Source organism: Homo sapiens, chromosome 18, assembly GCF_000001405.40.
Source record: "Homo sapiens chromosome 18, GRCh38.p14 Primary Assembly".
In the NCBI taxonomy this organism is placed as follows: Eukaryota; Metazoa; Chordata; class Mammalia; order Primates; family Hominidae; genus Homo; species Homo sapiens.
Genome location: NC_000018.10, coordinates 27,255,646 through 27,275,266, shown reverse-complemented (window position 1 = coordinate 27,275,266; position 19,621 = coordinate 27,255,646). Strand labels below are relative to the sequence as shown.

The 19,621-nt window shown below is 37.4% G+C and overlaps 1 long non-coding RNA gene across 1 annotated transcript in view; it reads right to left on the bottom strand.

Annotated features, from left to right (window-relative positions):
- Positions 1–525: 525 nt before the first annotated feature.
- The window catches only part of LINC01908 (long intergenic non-protein coding RNA 1908), a 50,682-nt gene continuing 31,586 nt past the window's right edge, over positions 526–19,621 (bottom strand). Inside the window, exon 7 of the long non-coding RNA XR_002958212.2 lies at positions 526–753. This is a non-coding gene — a long non-coding RNA (long intergenic non-protein coding RNA 1908). The remainder of the gene's footprint in view (positions 754–19,621) is intronic.

Genomic DNA, 19,621 nt, shown 5'->3' with positions numbered 1-19,621 from the left:
GTCCATTTGTTAATGTACGACTTAAGTTTTAAAATTAGCTCAGGCATCTTCTCCTTGAAGCTGCCTGCCTCTATCTTGGCAAAATTTGGCATTCTTCCTCTCTACTGAAACCATTACTACACTGACAACAATTGTCTTGAGGTGATTTGCTGACTTGGATACACCCTTTACCAGCTGTGAATTCCTTGCGGTCAGGAATGTATATATTCAGTTGTTCAGATTTTGAATATGCCTATCTCATAAATAGCACTCAATAAATGTTTACTAAATGAATGAATCATTAAATGAATAACTATTTCAAGTTTTACTAGGGAAATTGACTATATTATATACATGCCATTTCCTACACTTATAACAGAAATAGTAGATGACCACCTCTTTAGGTTGGTGAACAGATTACCTACTTTTCATGTAAGGACCTGGATGCAACCAGATCATGCAAACATTTTAAATGTTCATTTGTTTCTCTCCTCTTTATATTCTCATTTTTCTTTTATTAAGAAAAAATAAGCAGAATTTCTCTCTCACACTGCATATCTCTATTTTCACTTACCGTGTCACTCCTTCCTAGTTTATCGCTGATGTCTTCCATAGAGTCACCTTCCTGTCTGTCTCTGAGAAAGATAATGCAGGCTTCCATTCTTCCACATGGGCTTTTCCCAAATATATTCACCAACTTAGTCAACAGACTAGTTGTGGGTAACACAGAGTATCTCTGTAGGTTATCTCCAGGTGAATGCTTAGTGTTGGAGTCTGAGAGGAGAAGAAGCAAATTCACTTGAAAGTTGACATCTCATACCAAATACCCCCATAAAAATTTACCCACTCCACAAGCACATTTTTTTCACACATCACATTCAATTCTCATATTTCCTTAGATTAAAATCTTATAGTGCATTTTTATATTGCTTAATTACTTTTGGTGGTTATAAAGTTTTAATGTATATTTATAACATTTTATGTCAAATTTATAACACTGTAAGTACTTTAACTATTTCAATATCCTCTCTATAAAACCATTGTCATCAAATCAGATAAATGCCCCAAAAGCTGAGGTGAGACAACTTTAACTCTGCTTTCAAACTGCAGTAAGTTCTTTTAAACATTGTTTTAAAGGTTACACTGCACTAAGGAATATAGTCTCTAACTGTGACAGTTTTTAACATTGCAGTGCTACTAAAGAAAATTTAATGAAAAACACTATCTTTGCAACAATAACAACATAAAGATACCCAGATTTGAGGGGATATTAAACTTATCATAAGAAAATAATAAATAGGTAAAAGAATAAGTAGTTTGGCCCCATGGAATCTTTCTTCTGATTCAAAAAGATCAGCATGAGTTTCTCTTCAGATAACCTAGGAGGAATGATATCTTTTACTTTTTTTCTCTTTGAAACAGAGCAATCACATGCTAAAAATTAATAAGAGAGTTATGAAATTATGCTGTTTTTATATATTTATATTTTTATTTGGAGATATCTATTTCATTGATGTGTACCATTTAAATAGAAGTCTGCTTTAAAAATCATTTAACAGAAAGCAACAGTCTGATTGTACCAGTGGGATAAAACACAACCTTTCCATTTTGTCATGTTGACAACAGCTGATATACCAGAAGAAGAACCATCTCCCCTCTCTGGGTAAGAGCTTACCTGAATGAAAACAAAGTAATAGCAAGGAAATAAGAAGCCCCTTGTGTGTGTGAACTTAGAAATCTAACCTATGAAGTGATAACAGTCAGAATTATTTATGTCCCTGATTTTCAACAATTTTCACTGCTCTTTCTCTTTCTTGCTTGCTTTTCAACAATGCTTTGCAGATTGAAGCAGTACATTAATGATTCCATTTGTCAGCCTCTATTGTTGCTAATCCTTTTTATTCATTTTCATCTTTTCTGAGTTTTCAGCGCATTATTTTCATCTTGTTATATTGTTATATTTATTGATGCACTGCTTTCAATGTTCCACCAAATGTTTCTTTTTATTTTTATTTTACTCACTTGATTTCTTTCTTATGGAATTGGAGTTTTTAAATTTAGGAGTTCTAAACAGATTTTAAGGCTCTTACTTGAACATAGCTCACAAACAGGAATCCTTTAAGGAAATAAGGTGAAATGATAAATATGTGATCTATGGAAGAAGACAAGGAGCAACAGATACTTAACTACTCTGAGCTTCAATTTTCTTATTTTAAAATGTAGATAATAATACCTATATTGCAGTCTTATTTTAAGAATTAAAATTCCAGAATGTCAACTGCCTCACATACAAAAAAATGGCAGCACTATTATTATTATTATTATTATCTACTATTTCATTGCACTAGTAATGAAAAGATTCTATGTGGATCCAAATGTTAAAGGTAAAACTTAAAGGCTTCTAAAGGAAAGCAAAGGAAAATATTTTCAGAACCTTGGATAGAAAACACAAGAAGCACTAACTTAAAAGACAAGATCAATGTGTTAGACTTAATTAAAATTAAAATCTTTTATACATAAAAAATTAGGAGACCGAAACCATAGGGCTTATGCCTGCAACATATTAATATAATGTAATATGAATTTTTAACATTAAGAACTAATAGACACTAATAGAAAGATTGGCAAAAGATGCCGGGTGTGGCGGCTCACGCCTGTAATCCCAGCACTTTGGGAGACTGAGGCAGGTGGATCACAAGGTCAGGAGATGGAGACCATCCTGGCTAACATGGTGAAACCCCGTCTCTACTAAAAATACAAAAAAATTAGCCAGGCATGGTGGCGGGCACCTGTAGTCCCAGCTACCTGGGAGGCTGAGGCAGGAGAATGGCATGAACCCAGGAGGCGGAGCTTGCAGTGAGCCGAGATCGTGCTGCTGCACTCCAGCCTGGGTGATAGAGTGAGACTCCATCCCAAAAAAAAAAAAAAAAAAGATTGGCAAAAGACTTCATAGAGAGAATATACAAATGGTGAATAAGCATACAACAAAATAATCAACTTTATTAGCCCTATCAAGAAAATGCAAATTAAAGCCACAATGGGATACCATACCTACCAACCAGAATGACTCGAATTAAAAGACTGAGAGAAACAAGTGTTAAGTATGATTGATGAACAACTGAAATTCCCACACTGCTAATAGGAGTATAAATTAGTCCAATCATTTTGGGAAACTGGCAGTATCTATTAAAATTGTACATATATATCTCCAATGATCCATCAGCCTCACTCCTATATGGGAAGTAAAAGATTTGTACAAGAATGTTCAAAGTTATGTTACTTATAATATCCCAATACTAGAAAATCCAACATACTGAACAGTACTTGAATTGGGTAAAATAAAGTGCAGTGTATTTATACAATGAAATACCATTCAGAAATGGAAATGAATGAATTACTGCTGCATACCACATACAAGGAGTCTTCAAAACGTTCATAGGAAATGCATATTATGAAAAAACTATGCATGGATTTCAAAAACTTGTTGCACCAAAATGAACTCACACTAACTTGTTATAACAGATCTGAACAGAGTCTACTTTGAGACACTAAGAAGGATACTGTCAGTTTAAAATAACTCCTATCAGAGCAACATAAATTCTACTAAAATTGAAGCAAGAACAAACTTCAAATTTTTGGTGAAGCTTGAGTAGAGGAATGGTAAGATTATTCATGCTTTATGAAAAGTTGAGGGGGACAATGGCCCAAAGCAATCCACCATATAAATGGATAACTCATTTTAAGAAGGGACAAGATGAGGTTGAAGGTAAAGTACAAGCAGTAGTCCATACACATCAATTTGCAAGGATAAATTAATCTTGTTCATATCCAAATTGAAAAGGACTGACAATTAATAGCAGAACTAATAGCCCAAACTATAAACATTTCAACTGGTTTAGCTTACACAATTCTGACTGAAAAATTAAAGCTGAGCAAGCTTTCCACTTGATGAATGCCAAAACTGTTGATCCCACATCATCTGCAGATAAAAGCAGAGCTTTCAATGGAAATTTTAAACAAGTAAGATCAAGATCCTGAAGACTTTCTTCAAAGAATTGTACCAGGAGAAGAAACATGGCTTTACCAGTACAATCCTGAAGACAAGGCACAATCAAAGCAATGGCTACCAAGAGGCGGGAGTGGCCCAGTCAAAGCAAAAGTGGACCAGTCAAGAGCAAATGTCATAGCAATCGTTTTTTGGGATGATCAAGGCATTTTTTTTGTTGACTTTCTGGAAGGCCAAAAAATGGTAAGATCTGCTTACTATGAGAGTGTTTGGAGAAAGCTAGTCAATTCGTTAGCAGAAAAATGCCCAAGAGACTTCACCAGAGAGTCCTTCTCTCCCACAACAACACTTGCTTATTTATCTCATCAGACAAGGATAATTTTTTGAAAGTTTGGATGGAAAATCACTAGGCTACCATACAGTCTTGATTTGGCTCCTTCTGACTTCTTTTTGTTTTCTAATCTTAAAAAAATCTTTAAAATGCACTCACTTTTCTTCGGTTAGTCACGTAAAAAAAGACTGCATTGACATGTTTAAATTCCCAAGACATTCAGCTCTTTAACAATGGACTAAATTGCTGATATCATCACTTACAAAAGTATCTTGAACTAGATGGAGCTTCTGTTGAAAAATAAAGTTGATATATTTATTTTTATCTTTTAATTCCATTTTCCATGAACTGTTTGAAGTCCTCTTTATAACATTGAGCAGAATAAGCCAGCTACAAAAGCATACAAACTGTATCTTTTATAAAAAGTTCAAGAATAAGCAAAACTAGGCTATGATATTTGATATTCAAAGTTATGATGGTAGCCACCTTTGCTGTGGAAGGAAATGGCGATTTGAATGGACATGGGGAGTCAGGTGTTAAGAATGTTCTATTGCTTGATGAGGACATTGTTACCCAGGTATATTCACTTTGTGATAGTTCTAATGAATACTCAGGATGTGTGTGCTTTTCTACCTTGTTGCTCTTTTTCAATAAGCAAGTTTACCCCAACAATTATTGCATTATTTAGGCAAAACTGTATGTTTTTGTTTGTCAAGGGGGTTGATTCATCAAGATGTCATCCCCAAAATAAGTTGTATTTTGACAGGAGTAAGAACAAGCTCAATTTTGGAACTGAAAATGGAAATTAATTCTGCTATCTTTTTAAAAAATAAATACTCCATTTGTTGATTTTACCAAACTCCCCAAGTCTCCAAAGAAAGGAATAGATGTCCAGAAAACAAAGCCCCAGCCCTACAAAAGACATGAATTTTTATCAGCGAATCACCTTTATAAGCACTTTGTAAGCAGAATCTAATTTCTTCAAAAACATAAACAATTTGATGCATTTACTGAACATTGAATCAGTCATATTGGGTCTCTGGGAAATGTAGAAACCTTCTTTATTTTTACATCATTCTTTTAGAGAAGCCTTTTATCAGTTTCACTGACTTGTGCTTTAGTGTTATAAAGTCTGCCTTAATTAAGGAGTATATAAGGAACACGTAAGAATGACTATTTAGGTTAGTGCCAGTGGCAAAACCATGATTACTTTTGGCACCTACCTAATATTTAAAAACCTCTACTGGATGTGCTGATGTCGATGTTGAGGCTATTGCTTATTAATTTGTTCAGGGTCCCCACAAAATGCTTCTGTGATAGAAATTTATTATAAAAATTAGGCCCAGGAAATCATTTAATCCCCCTGAAAGACCAATGTGCTTTCTTCAATGTAAATTAGATGACTGCCTAAATTTCCCTTTCCTTGGGCTACCAGGATAAGCAGAGTAAAAAAAATTTATTTCCTTTGCATTTTAGTTTCTGAACTGTTCACTACTTTTCATTTTAGGTTTTTCTGTTTCTAATTTCATGTTTATTTTATTTTTATTTTCTATAAGTTGCCTCCAAGGTGGAAACAAGAAGACACAAGACTTATTTTCAAACAAATAAATATATAAGTGTTTTTGTTTGTATTTGTTGCAAAAAAAAAAAAAAATGTATTGGCTGGGCGCGGTGGCTCTCACCTGTAATCCTAGCACTTTGGGAGACCGAGGTGAGTGGATTGCCTGAGCTCATGAGCTCGAGACCAGCCTGGGCAACAGGGTGAAACCCTGTCTCTACTAAAATACAAAAAAATTAGCCGGGTATGTCGGCGTGTACCTGTAGTCCCAGCTAGTCGGGAGGCTGAGGCAGGAGAATTGCTTGAACCCAGGAGGTGGAGGTTGCAGTGAACTGAGATCACGCCACTGCACTCCAGCCTGGGCCACAGAGCAAGACTCCATCTCTAGTTAAAAAAAAATAAAAAGTGTTGCATTTAATAGAAAGTACTCTGCAATGAATACCCACATCAACAATAGACAGTAAATATCGAATAAATGAAATAGACAATAAAAGCTGTTAGTTTAAAAAATGAAGACTTCACAAGTGCGATGAAGTTTGTGAAGAAATTTGACCTGAGATCTCAAGGGTTTCTACAAAGCACATAAGCAAGAAAGATTTAATATTACACTGAATGAATTTATTACTTTTGCAGTTACACTTTAAATGTTAACTACAATTATTGAATGAAAGATATGAAATACACTGTTTTATGTTGACAAACTATAAGTTCAAATGAAACATTTAGGAAACAGCTTAGCACTACCACAACTAAATACATTTAAATAAATGCTAGCTACTACTAAAACTGTAACAATTACAACTATTATTATAATCAGTAACTTGATGGGAGAAGTATTTGTAGTTAAACATCCTAATGCAACTAAAGTCACTCTTGCATGGACAGTTGCCTGTCCCACCAGTAACTTAGCACAGGATGAAAATACATTTTGTCTTTGTCTTTTCCAACTGCACTAAATCAGAATAGATAACTGGAAAATTGGTCAAGACGATTGAGCTAAAGAGGAAAAAGCAATAAATAAGTTTGAATCAAATTAGGGCCACTTAAAATCCAGTGACCTGGGACAAGTAAATAATTTATAATGAGACTATTAATTTCTGTCTGTGGGTTTTGTAGAATAATTACAAATGATCATATAGATGAAAGTGCTAGTGAATGAATAAGAATCTCACTGTCCAATGTACCATAGTTAGATCCCAAATAGTCCTTTACAAATTCCAAGACCAAGTAAATAAAACTGCTGCATACATGAAGAGGCTAATAAAATAGTCCCTGGTGAGACAGACCCTTTTCTGCTGAGTTTAAATGTTCCAAAACTCGATAACAATGGATACACCACTTGAACTTCGATAATTTCTTACTTGACTCTTCTTGGTTTCTTTGACCTATTCTTCGACCTTTCTACTCACCCCAAATTTGGGCTCTCAGATTATGGACTTTACCTGCTGACTGCTTGAGGAAAGCTGGCATAACCTTTTGCTTTTATTCACTCAACAAGCATTTATTATCTAGTATATGTCAGGCACTGTTCTAGACTCTGAGTTTATAGCAAAGAACAAAACAAAATCCTCCTCATATAGAGTGTACTTTCCAAGGGGTGTAATTTTAATGAGGAAAATATTTTGTTCACACAATGCCAAGGATGATTACAATAATAAAGCAATTTAAGAGACATGAATAAATAGCACAACAATATTTGAATACAATTAGATTTGAAATAAGCAGATTCATTATAGTTGGATGTGGAGGAATCATTGAAGGCAATTTCAATAGATGTGAAAAATACTGTCATAATGAAATGTGGCAGATTATATCTTCTAAAGATGGCTGCATCAATATATATTTTATTCCTCATGTACTTCATTTTTTTTAGACAGGGTCTCACTCTGTTGCCCAGGCTGGAGTGCAGTGGCACAATCATGGCTCACTGCAGCCTCAACCTCAAAGGCTCAATTAATCCTCCCACCTCAGCCTCCCAAGTAGCTGGGACTACAAACACATGCCACCACACCCAGTTAATTTTTGTATTTTTTGTAGAGATGGGTTTCAACATGTTGTCTAGGCAAGCCCTGAACTCCTGGGCTCAAGCAATCTGCCCACCTTAGTCTCCCGAACTGCTGAGATTACAGGCATGACCTGACCCCATGTACTTCTTTTCTTTTTAATTTTTTATTTCCATATGTTGTTGGGGAACAAGTGGTGTTTGGCTGCATGAGTAAGTCCTTTAGTGGTGATTTGTGAGATTTTGGTGCACCCATCACCCAAGCAGTATACACTGCACCCAATTTGTAGTCTTTTATCCTTCACCCTCCTCCCACTCCTTCCCCAAGACCCTAAAGTCCATTGTGTCATTCTTGTGCCTTTGCATCCTCATAGCTTAGCTCCCACTTATGAGTGAAAACATATGTTTGGTTCAATTCCTGAGTTAATTCACTTAGAAGAATAGTCTCCAATCTCATCTAGGTCACTGCAAATGCCATTAATTCATTCCTTTTTATGACTGAGTAGTATGACTGAGTAGTATGCCACAGTTTCTTAATCCACTCATTGACTGATAGGCATTTGGTTGGTTCCACATTTTTGCACAACACAATTGTGAATTGTGAATTGCGTTGCTATAAACATGCATGTGCAAGTATCTTTTTTGTATAATGACTTCTTTTCCTCTGGGTAGATACCCAGTAGTGGGATTGCTGGATCAAATGGTAGTTCCACTTTTAGTTCTTTAAGGAATCTCCATAGTGGTTGTACTAGTTTACATTCCCACCAGCAGTGTAGAAGTGTTCCTTGTTCACCACATCCATGCCAACATGTATTTTTTTTTTAGTTTTTGATTATAGACCCCCATGACCCATATACTTACAGTGACATTGATCCTCAAATCTGGAGGGACCTGTGTAACTGTCTTAATCAAAATAGTGTGATGAAAGGGATGCTATGAGTCTTCCAATAATTACAGGGGACAAAAGGCCAAAAAGCAATCTTCATCCCCAATTTCACAGCCCAATCTATGCACACACAAACATATGACCTGAAGTCATTATTCAGTCACTCTCTTGAGGATTTGTTGTTAAAGCTGATTTGGATCACCATTACATTGGTTTGGTTAAGCCCCATGTGTATCTTCACTGAGTAACTGTAGCCTTGATAATCACACGTGGCACAACTTAAGGCCACTCAGCATCAGGAGAATCACATAATCAGTCAGATTGAAACAGGTTGTGTTTGTAAATGTTGTGTTTGGAAGCTACTGTTGATGGCATCAGGCACAGCAGAATAGGTCAAGGCCTGTCATGTTCGCCTGAGTTTTATTTCATTTTTATAGCATGTCAACAGAGATGACAAACTCAGCCTCAGTTTAGATTGTCAGATGAAGCTGTGGCTTGACTCAGGAAGCAGTGCTGGATCTAGAAGATAGAGTGGGTTTAATCATTTCTTTTCCCGTATACCTCTGGGATCTAAGTTCCCTCCCTGGTTGCCGGGTTTTTTTTCTCTCCTTCTACTACCATAAAATTAATGCATCCAATCCCGGAGTAATTACAACTTTATCTTTTCTCCAATTATCTTATATTCATATGTATAATTTTTTTCCTGATCATTACCTGGAAAGTTGTTGAAATGATAAAATCCCTTTCTGGGCACAACCTTATTCACACTCTTACTGAGGTGTGTGGATCAGGAGGAGGTGAGGGAAGTAAAGTCAGAAGTCTTCCCAAGCTCAACAATACCCAAAATTTATAAATAGTAGGGGGCATGGAATGTCCATCCAATACTTTGGTCATTGTCCCATCACTGATAACGTTTGTGACAAAAAGGACATCACTGTCAGATCGTAGAAGGTTCAAAAAGCAAAAAACATGGCACAGATTAGTTTTAATGGCCCAAGTGTTATGGACTGGACCACAGTACCATAACCTGAAAAAGTGTCAAAAGTACTGAGGCATCATTGATAACCTTAAGGAAGTAAGGAAGATCCCAGGTAGTCAATCTGCCAAGAGAAGACAGGATCACCAATTCCTGCAATGTGTCCTCCTTCATCTTGAGACAAACAAGTATTTATTGGCAGGAATCACAGATCTAGTATGCAGTGATTGCTTCTGTATCAGACACAGAACCTCAAAGCCTGATGGTGATATATTGCCATATTTTGATGTGATGACAGATCCCGATGGAGAGGCAGCAATTTCAGCATTGCAGGTGTGAGCAGCAGCTTGGCTTCAGTCAGTGAATAGAGCCTTCCTGTAGACATTTAGGTTAAGTAATGTGAGGTCACATGGTCCATGTGAGTGACCCAGACCACCATAACAGCAGCCACAATTTGTTTCCAGTTTGTGGCCCTAAGGAGGAGTATCTTTACTCTGCCCATCTGTGGTCTTTCAAGTGACAATCCAAATGACTAGACCAGCACACGACTCAGTAAAAATATCAACGGATGTATTGGCCTGAGCTATGAAAACAACCTTTAGTTTTGCCTACTGAGTGGAGTCACCATGCACATTTTCAGTTATTTGTAGCTGGGGCTGAGGCTAAACAGCCACAGCAATCCCAGTGGACAACATTAAGTTTTGACTTTGTTGAATCATCAGTCAACCAGGCCCAGGAATTGAGGGGAGCTTCTCTGAATTGGGGGCCCCACTGAATCGGAACTTTGCTTCAGGCAGCAGAGGGGGAGATAAGTTTTCCCTAAAGAAGTAGCTTCCACCCATCATTAAAAAAAATGAGGTGAAGCTGAGTCCAGGTTAGCTGATTCCGTGAACACGTTGTTTTCATTTGACAAGTAAGACTGTTTAGAGAGGCATATATTGTCTACAATATTTAAAGAATCCAATAAAGGGTTAGGACTTTTTTTTGGTGATAGTGGGACCAAAAAAGACAGCAGTTTTTGATCCATTGTTAGAAGAATTGAACATTGTATTAATAAACCCACTCACACAGTCCTAAGAAACTGTTCTTGGAACGCAGTTCCAAAATTGTGCTGGGGTTTATTAACCACCTCTGCCGGATGAGGTATGATAGCATTACAGCCAGGCCAATTGAGACTGAAGCTTCGGATTTGCCAATCATCAGGACATCACCTATATAGGGAAAAATCTGGACATCAGAGGAGTGAGGCACTCCTGCTGAATGCTGACTACCCCACCAGTTTGCAAATAGCAGGGTACTTTGTTGCTCTAGTGTTTTTTTAAAGGCCTAAAGCACATAATATTTTCTGATACTTTATGAACACTTACAGCACATGTTATATATTTTCATAACAAAGTACGTTGAGTTGACCCAGAGGGCTTCATTCATAAGGTCACTTTAATGTTGTTTTTTTTTTAACTGTACATTTTGCTCAAGCGCTATTTAAATTTGGACACTTTCCCTCCACACCATGGGAACACACACCAAGGAGTTTAACAACTATACTTTAGGGACAGCTACCAGGAGATAATGTCATTTCCTAGCAAGGAGCCTGGGGAGTGCAGAAGGATGGTGGAGACTGGCCTGCAGGGATGGCTGGAGTATACAAGGAAGCATTTTTTTCTCCCCTGGCTTCTTGCCCGAAGGTCAGTGCTACATCCTCCCCTGTGCACCTCCAGCATCTGAGGCCTGCCAAAAACAGGCGCTCTTTCTTCTTGCACCCTCACATTTCACTGCAGCTTCTACCTGAAATGTTCAGCAGCATTCTGCCACCCTTGTACCCAGAATCCCCTATCCACACAGAGCCAGCCAGGGGATGATTTGGACTTCCACATCCTATACCACCATAAAAGTGTGAGTAACGTCCCTGTCTGAAGTTTTCTAGCACATTGGCTTTTAGTAAAGCAGCTGAGGATGTGGTAGAGGGCAAAAAAAGGCATCAGGGGCTGCTGGAGAAAGAAGCACTCAGTGCCAATAAGCAAGGCTTTGCATCTACTTTCAGTTTTGAGCAGCTGACTTCTCAGTTTTAACAACAACAACAACAACAAAAACCTCCAGATGTTTAAAGGTAACCAAAGCTCTATATCCTTGTTGCTGATGCCATGAGGGATCCTCTAGCAGCCATGATACCTTTTGGCTAAGGACCTACCTGAGGCTTGCTGCCCCCATTGCCATCATAACATCCCTTCCTTCTACCATTTAGTAGAGAATGAACCTAAGCAGCATTCAGGAGGCTGGTTTTAATCTTACCTCTCACCATAAAGCCTCTAAACATCCATTAATAGGTAGAACATTGGGAAGATGCTTACTGCCTCCACCCTACCACTGGGGCAAGAGCATTCACTACCAGATCCTGGGGAGTGAGTTTTCACATAACCCCTAGCCCAGCCTATAGAAAACCTCATCCTTTCTATTCCAGAAATCCATGCCTCTGTTAGCACACCATACTCATTGCCAAAATTAAAAAACTGTACAGAGTCTAGTCTTGTTACCCTACTTTTAAATAACAAGTAATATGCTGTTTCAAGATTTACAGTGCTGGAAGAAGACAAAAGACTCCTGGATCAGAGACAAAGGTCTGTATTATTCATGTTAAAAACAGGAGCCAGGACGTCAGATTGATTTGCATCAGTTTTCCAGAGGCAAACAAAAGGACTCATTATGGATTCCAGCACTTACAATGGGTTGTGTTACAGGAAATAAAAAAGTAAAATAACTGAAATAAATAATTGACTAGAAGGGCTCAACAGCAGATCTGAGCTGACAGAAGAATCAGTGAACTTGAAGAAAGGTCAATTGAGATTATCCAGTCTGAGGAATAGCAAGTAAAGAATAAGGAAAAAAGAACAGAGTCTTAGACACATGTGAGATATCATTAAGCAAATCAGTGTCCAAATAAATTGAAGACATAAAATGAGAGAAGATAAAAGATGGAGCAGAAAATATTTGAAGAAACTGTGACTGAGAACTTCCCCAAATTGAAGGAAAGCATTAATCAAACTTCAAGTAAAATAAGCTCAGAGAGATCCATAACTGAAAATTTCATGGTCAAACTGTCAAAAGACAAAGAGAGAGAGATCTTGAAAGAACCAAGACAAATATGACTCATCATAGAGAAGAGATCCAAAATAAGATTAACATTGGACTTCTTACCAGAAACTGTGGATGCCAGAAGGCAATGGGATGCCATTTTCAAGATGCAGAAAGAAACAATCAACCAAAACTGTTGACCAAAACTATCCTCCAAAAATGTAAGAGATATAAAGGTGTTCCCAGATAAAAACTGAATGAATTGGTTGATAGCAGACTTATTCTATAAGAAATACTAAAGAGTCCTTCAAATTGAAATGAAAGAGCACTAAACATAACTGAAATCCACATGAAAAAATAAAGAACACTAGTAAAGATAATTGCAAGGCTAAATATTAAGGAAAGAATAACTGTATCTCTGTAACTAATTTTTCTTTCTGTTTTATCTAAACAATAACATCATAAAGCAATAATTATAAAATTGCTGAATGGACTTAAAATATTAAAAGATGTAATTTGTATGTTTTATGACAGTAATAGAACAAAGGCAAGATAGGAAAGAATAATATTGTAGACAAGTTTCATATACTATTGAAATTAAATTCATATTAATTTGAAATACATTATTTTAAAATGTTAATGTTAATTGGGAATTTCAGGGCCACAACTAAGAAAAAAACTCAGAAAATATAGTACAAGAATATGGTACATTTTAATCAAAAGAGGACTAACAAAAATACCTATTTAACAACAACAAAAAAGAAAGTAATGGAGAAATAGAGTAACAAAATGACATAAGACATGCAGAAAACAAACAGCTAAATGGCAGATGTAAATTCTACCTTATAAGATATTCATTAAACACTGGTAATCAGACATTCTAATCAAAAGGCAGAAACTAACAGATTATCTGAATGACCCAATTATATGTCACCTATAAGGATATACTTTAGATTCAAAGACACAAATAGGTTGAAAGTAAAGGATGAAAAAAACATGATGCAAGTGGTAACCAAAACAAATAAACAAATAAAAACTGAAATGGCTATAGTAGTATAAGACAAAATAGACTTTAACACAAAAATTGTCACTAGAGACAAAGAAGGGCATTTTATAATGATAAAAATGTCAAGCAAAAAGACGTAATTAAAAATATGTATGCACCAAACAAGAGAGTTCAAAAATACATAAAGCAAAACAGAGAGAACTGAAGGGAAAAACAGACAAATCAACATTAGAGCTGGAAACTTCAATACCCCAATTTCAATAATGGATAGAACAACAAGGCAGAAGAACAACAAAGAAATGGAAGGTTTAAAAATACTATAAATCAATTAGATTTAACAGACATGTAAAGAAAACATCACTCAACAACAGTAGAGTACACATTCTTTTAAAATACACATGAACCATTCTCCAGGATAAGCCATATTAGGCCAGAAAACAAGTCTCAATAAATTTAAAAGGATAAAGTCAGGCAAAGTATATTCTCGGCTCTCATTGAAATGAAACTAGAAATCAGTAATAAGATAAAATTTTAGAAATTAACAAATACGTAAAAATAAATGACACACTCCTAAATAATCAACAGATCAAAGTGAAAATCACAAAGACACACACCAAATATTTTGAGATAAATGGAAATGAACACTAAATTTTATGGGATATATACCAAAACTCATGAGGTGCAGATAAAGCAGCACTTAGAGGGAAATACATACTATTAAACCCCAATATTTTAAAAAGAAATAAAATCCCAAAACAATAACCCAAACTTATACCCTAAGAAACTGTAAAGAAAAGAGCAAATATAATCCAAAGCAGAAAATAAAACACCTTTAACAGAAACATCCAGGTACATGCATTGGGACTAATCAAGAAAACAACTGGACTGACTGAGAACAAACAAAAGCAGGGCAGGATGACAGCCCACCTGGGTGTCACACAGAGCCGGGGGGAGCCTCCCCTGCTCTGCTCACTCACTGAAGCAGTGAGTGAATGTGCAACCTGAGGAATCCACACTTCTTCCATGGATCTTTGCAACCCTCAGGTCAAGAGATCCCCTTGAGAACCCACTCCACCAGGACCTTCAGTCTGACATACAGAGAGCTATGTGGAGTCTTGGCTGAGCAGCCACTCAGGCACATGTGAAGGCCCAGGAGCCTTAGATACATTGGCTTTCTGGGCTTCCCAGCAAAAGCAGCTGCAACTTCAGCAAAATAGGAGGTTAGACCCCCCTGTACAGGCCCCTAGGAAAGGGGCTGAATCCAGAGGGCTGAGCAGCAACAGTCTGCAGGCCCTGCTTTTACAGTGTCTCACAGGATAATTGGCATGGAACTCCAGCTAGCCACAGGTAGCAGCTTGTGCCTCCCTTAGGTGGAGCTCCCAGGGGGAGGGGTGGGCTGCCATCTTTGCTGTTTGGGCAACTTAGCTGTTCCGGCCTTTGGGCTGGAGGCAACCAGGGGCTGAAGTGGACCCCCAGTACAGAGCAGCTGTCCTACAAAAATGTGGCCAGATTGTTGTTTTAAGCAGGTCCCCAGTCTTGTTTCTTCTCACTGGGTGGGACCTCCCAACTGGGGACTCTAGCTAGCACCACCAGTGTTTTCCAGCCAACAGAGGTTTCAAGCCTCCCTGCAACAGAAAGAAGAAATTGTGAGGCAGGCCACCATCTTTGTTGTTTGGGCAACTTAGCCATTCTGCCCTTCAGGCTTTGGCGAGTCCAAGACAATCAGGTGTTGTAGTGGACCCCCAGAACACAACCGCTCTACAAAAACATGACCAAATGGCCTTTTAATGCAGGTTTCCAAATTCCATTCCTCCTCACCGGGCAGAATCTCTCAGTTGGGATCTCCAGCCACCTCCTGCAGGTGTGTTCAGGCTGGCAACAGATAAGAACCACCCTGGGATGGAGCTTGCAGAGGGAGGGGCAGGCTGCCATTTTTGCTGTTTTGCAGCCTTCACTGTTGATACCTCCAGGTACTGGAAAATTCATGGTGACTAGGGACTAGAGTGGATCCCCTGTATACTGCAGCAGCCCTACAGAAAAGTGGTGCCTGTTCCCATATCTCCTTACCAGGCAAGTCCTCCAGGCCTAGGTCTCCAGCCACCCCTGCCAGAGCTATTCAGCCAGTAGTAGCTCTGCAACCCTGGACAGGGACAACTGAAAGCCTTTCTGCCACTGCCTCTGCAGTGGGACTGCCCTTGCTATCCTCAGACTAATGAAGGAGCAAAGACCCTCAGTGCCTTATTGACACCTCCAACAAGCTGCAGTCAATCCAAGGAGAGGAGGCCAGTCCATCTCCCATGGATCCCACCCACATCCCCTACTCATTACCAGACAGGGAACCCCCAGCTTGGGCCCACGGCACACCCTTTCCATTCTGGGCTGATTGCACTGAGCAATTGCTGACCTGCATCTCTCAGGGGTGGAGCCCCCAGGAAACAAGCAAAACACCCTTGGTCACAGCCACTACTAAAGTTCTGTCCTCTGCTGCCTTCAAGTTGGGGAAGGAACATAAACACACATGCACACCTATGTTCACCGCAGCACTACTCACAATAGCAAAGACATGGAATCAACCTAAATGCCCATCGATAGTAGACTGGATAAAGAAAATATGGTACATATGCACCATGGAATACTGTGCAGCCATAAAAAAGAAAGATATCATGTCATTTGCAGGAACATGGATGGAGCCAGAGGCTGTTATCCTTAGCAAACTAACACAGGAACAGAAAGCCAAATACCACACATTCTCACTTGTAAGTGGGAGCTACATGGTGAGACCTCATGAACACAAAGAGGGAAACAACAGACATTGGGGTCTACTTGAGGGTGGAGGGTGGGAGGAGGGAGAGGATCAGGAAAAATAACTCATGAGTACTAGTCTTAATGCCTAGAAGATGAAATAATCTGTACAACAAACCCCCATGACATGAGTTTACCTATATAACAAACCTTCACGTATACCCCTGAACCTAAAATAAAAGGCTAAAGAAAAAAAATCCAAAGCAAGCAGAAAAAATATAGTGGATATAAATGAAATAAAAATGAAAAACAATAGAGAAAATTAACCAGTAAAAATTTGGTTCTTTGGAAAGATCAGAAAAATTACTAAGCATTTATTTAGACAGCTCACAAAAAAAGAGAAAAGATTCAAATCACCTAAACCAGGAATGAAGGAAAACATAGCAATATCCACCCTGTAGAAATGAAAAGAATTATAAAGAAATACTACAAAAAAGTGTTTGCCAACAAATTAGATAACCTAGACAAAAGGAAAGAATTGTAGAAAAACATAAACTACCAAAACTGACTCATGGTAAAATACAAAATATTCATTGACTTCCTACAAAGAAAATCCCAAGTTCAGATGGCTTCACTGGTGAATTCTAAAACACACTTAAAGAATAATTAACAATTTGTCTGAGATTCTTCCAGAAAATGAAAGAGGAAGGAACATTTCTCAATGTATTCTATGAGACCAGTTTTATACTGAGGCCAAAACTAGCAAAAACATCACGAGTAGAGAAAATTACAGACAATGTTCCTTAAGAATAAAGATCAAATATCCTTAACAAAATAGTTATAAATCAAATCCAGGTACATATAAACAGGATTATGCACCATGACAAAGTGTGATTTACGCCAGGAATCCAAGGTTATTTAAACATCTGAAATTCAATGCAATATACTATATCAATAGAATAAAGGAAGGACAAAAACCATATGATCATCTCAATAGATACAGAAAGGACATTTGTCAAATCCACACTTTTATTATTAAAACCCCTCAATAAATTGGGAATTGAAAGAAACTGCTTCTAGATGCTAAACAGTTCCCATGAAAAATCCATAATTAACATCATATTTAATAGTGAAAGACTGAATGCTTTCCCCTTAAAATTAGGAACAAAACAAGTTATCCACTTCTTCCACTTCTATTCAACATTGTACTAGAGGTTTTACTCAACACAATGAGGAAAGAAAGAGAAATAAAAGACATCCAGACTGGAAAAGAAAGAGTAAAAATATTTCTATCTAAAGAAGACATAATTTTCAATATGGAAAATTCTAAGGAATACACAAACACACACACAACCTATTAGAACTAATAAACCAGTTCAGCAACGTTGCAAGATATTAATGTAAGATCAAAATACAAAACTCAAATGAAGTTTTATGAAACAGCAATGAACAATCCCAAAATGAAATTAATGAGACAATTCCATTTACAACGACATCAAAAACAATAAAATTATTAGGAACAAATTTAACAAAAGAAGTGCAAGATATGTACACTAATAAATACAAAATACTCTTGAAAAATGTAGAGAAGACTTAATAAATGGAAAGACACACTATGTTCATAGACTGGAAGATAATGATGTTAAAATGGTAGTACTCTCTGCATTGATCTACAGGGTCAATACAGTCTCAAACTCCCAGATGCCGTTCTGCAGAAATTTAAAAACCAGCACTAAAATTCATGTGAATATGAAAGGCATCCAAAATCACCAAAACAATCTTGAAAAAGATGAACACAATCAGAAGACTCACATTTCCTGATTTAAAAACTCACTACCAACCTACTGTAACCAAAACAGCATTGTACTCGCGTAAAGATAAACATGTAGCTCAATAGAATAGAATTGACATCCCAGAAACCCTCACAGTTATGGTCAATTGATTTTAACAATTCTGCCAAGGCAATTCAATGAGAGAAAAAAGTCTTTAACCACTTACAAATAAAAAGACAACTCATTTTAAAAATAGGCCAATAATTTGAATAGTTACTTTTCTAAAGAAGATAAACAAATGATCAATAAGCTCATGAATAGATGCTCGACATCATTAGTTATTGGGGAAAGCAAACCAAAACCACAATGAAAGCAAAAAACAGAAACAGTATCCACTAGGATGATTAAAATAAAAAAGAAAATGAATAGTGGTTATATAGACAAATAGAAGCCTTCATGTATTGTTGGTGAGAAAGTGGTGCAGCCGCTTTGCAATACAGCTTAATCATTTCTCAAAACATTAAACACAGAGTTACTATATTACCCAGCAACTCCACTCCTAAATATGTGGGCTTGAAGGTGTCCACACAAACAATTTGTCCACAAATGCTTATAGCAGCATTATTCCTAACAGCCAAAAAATGTAAACAACCCAATGTTCAGCAACTCATGAATAGATAAGTAAAATACGGTATATGTATACAAGGAAATATTATTTGTAAATTAAAAGGAATGAAGTACTAATACATGCTACAGCATGGATGAACCTTGAAAACTTTATGCCAAATGAAAGAAGCCAGACACAAAGGTCACATATTATATTATTTCATTTATATGAAATTTCCAGAACAGGCAAATCCATGGAGGCAGGAAGTAAACTAGCAGTTTCCTGGTACTAGAGGAGTTGGGAAGAATGGGAGTTGACTGCAGGTGGGGTTTTATTTGGTGATGATGAAAATGTTCTGAAATCAGATGGCTGCGATGGTCGTACCACTCTATGAATAAACTAAAAAACACTGGATTGTATGCTTTAAAAGAGTGATTCTGTTGTGTAAGTTGTCTTTTTTTTTTTTTTTTCTGAGACAGAGTCTCACTCTGTCTCCAGGCTATAGTGTAGTGGCACGATCTCGGCTCACTGCAACCTCCACCTCCTGGATTCAAGTGATTCTCGTGCCTCAGCCTCCCAAGTAGCTGGGATTACAGGCACGCGCCACTACGCCCAGCTGATTTTTTTATATTTTTGGTAGAGACGGGGTTTCACCATGTTGGCCAGGATGGTCTTGATCTCCTGACC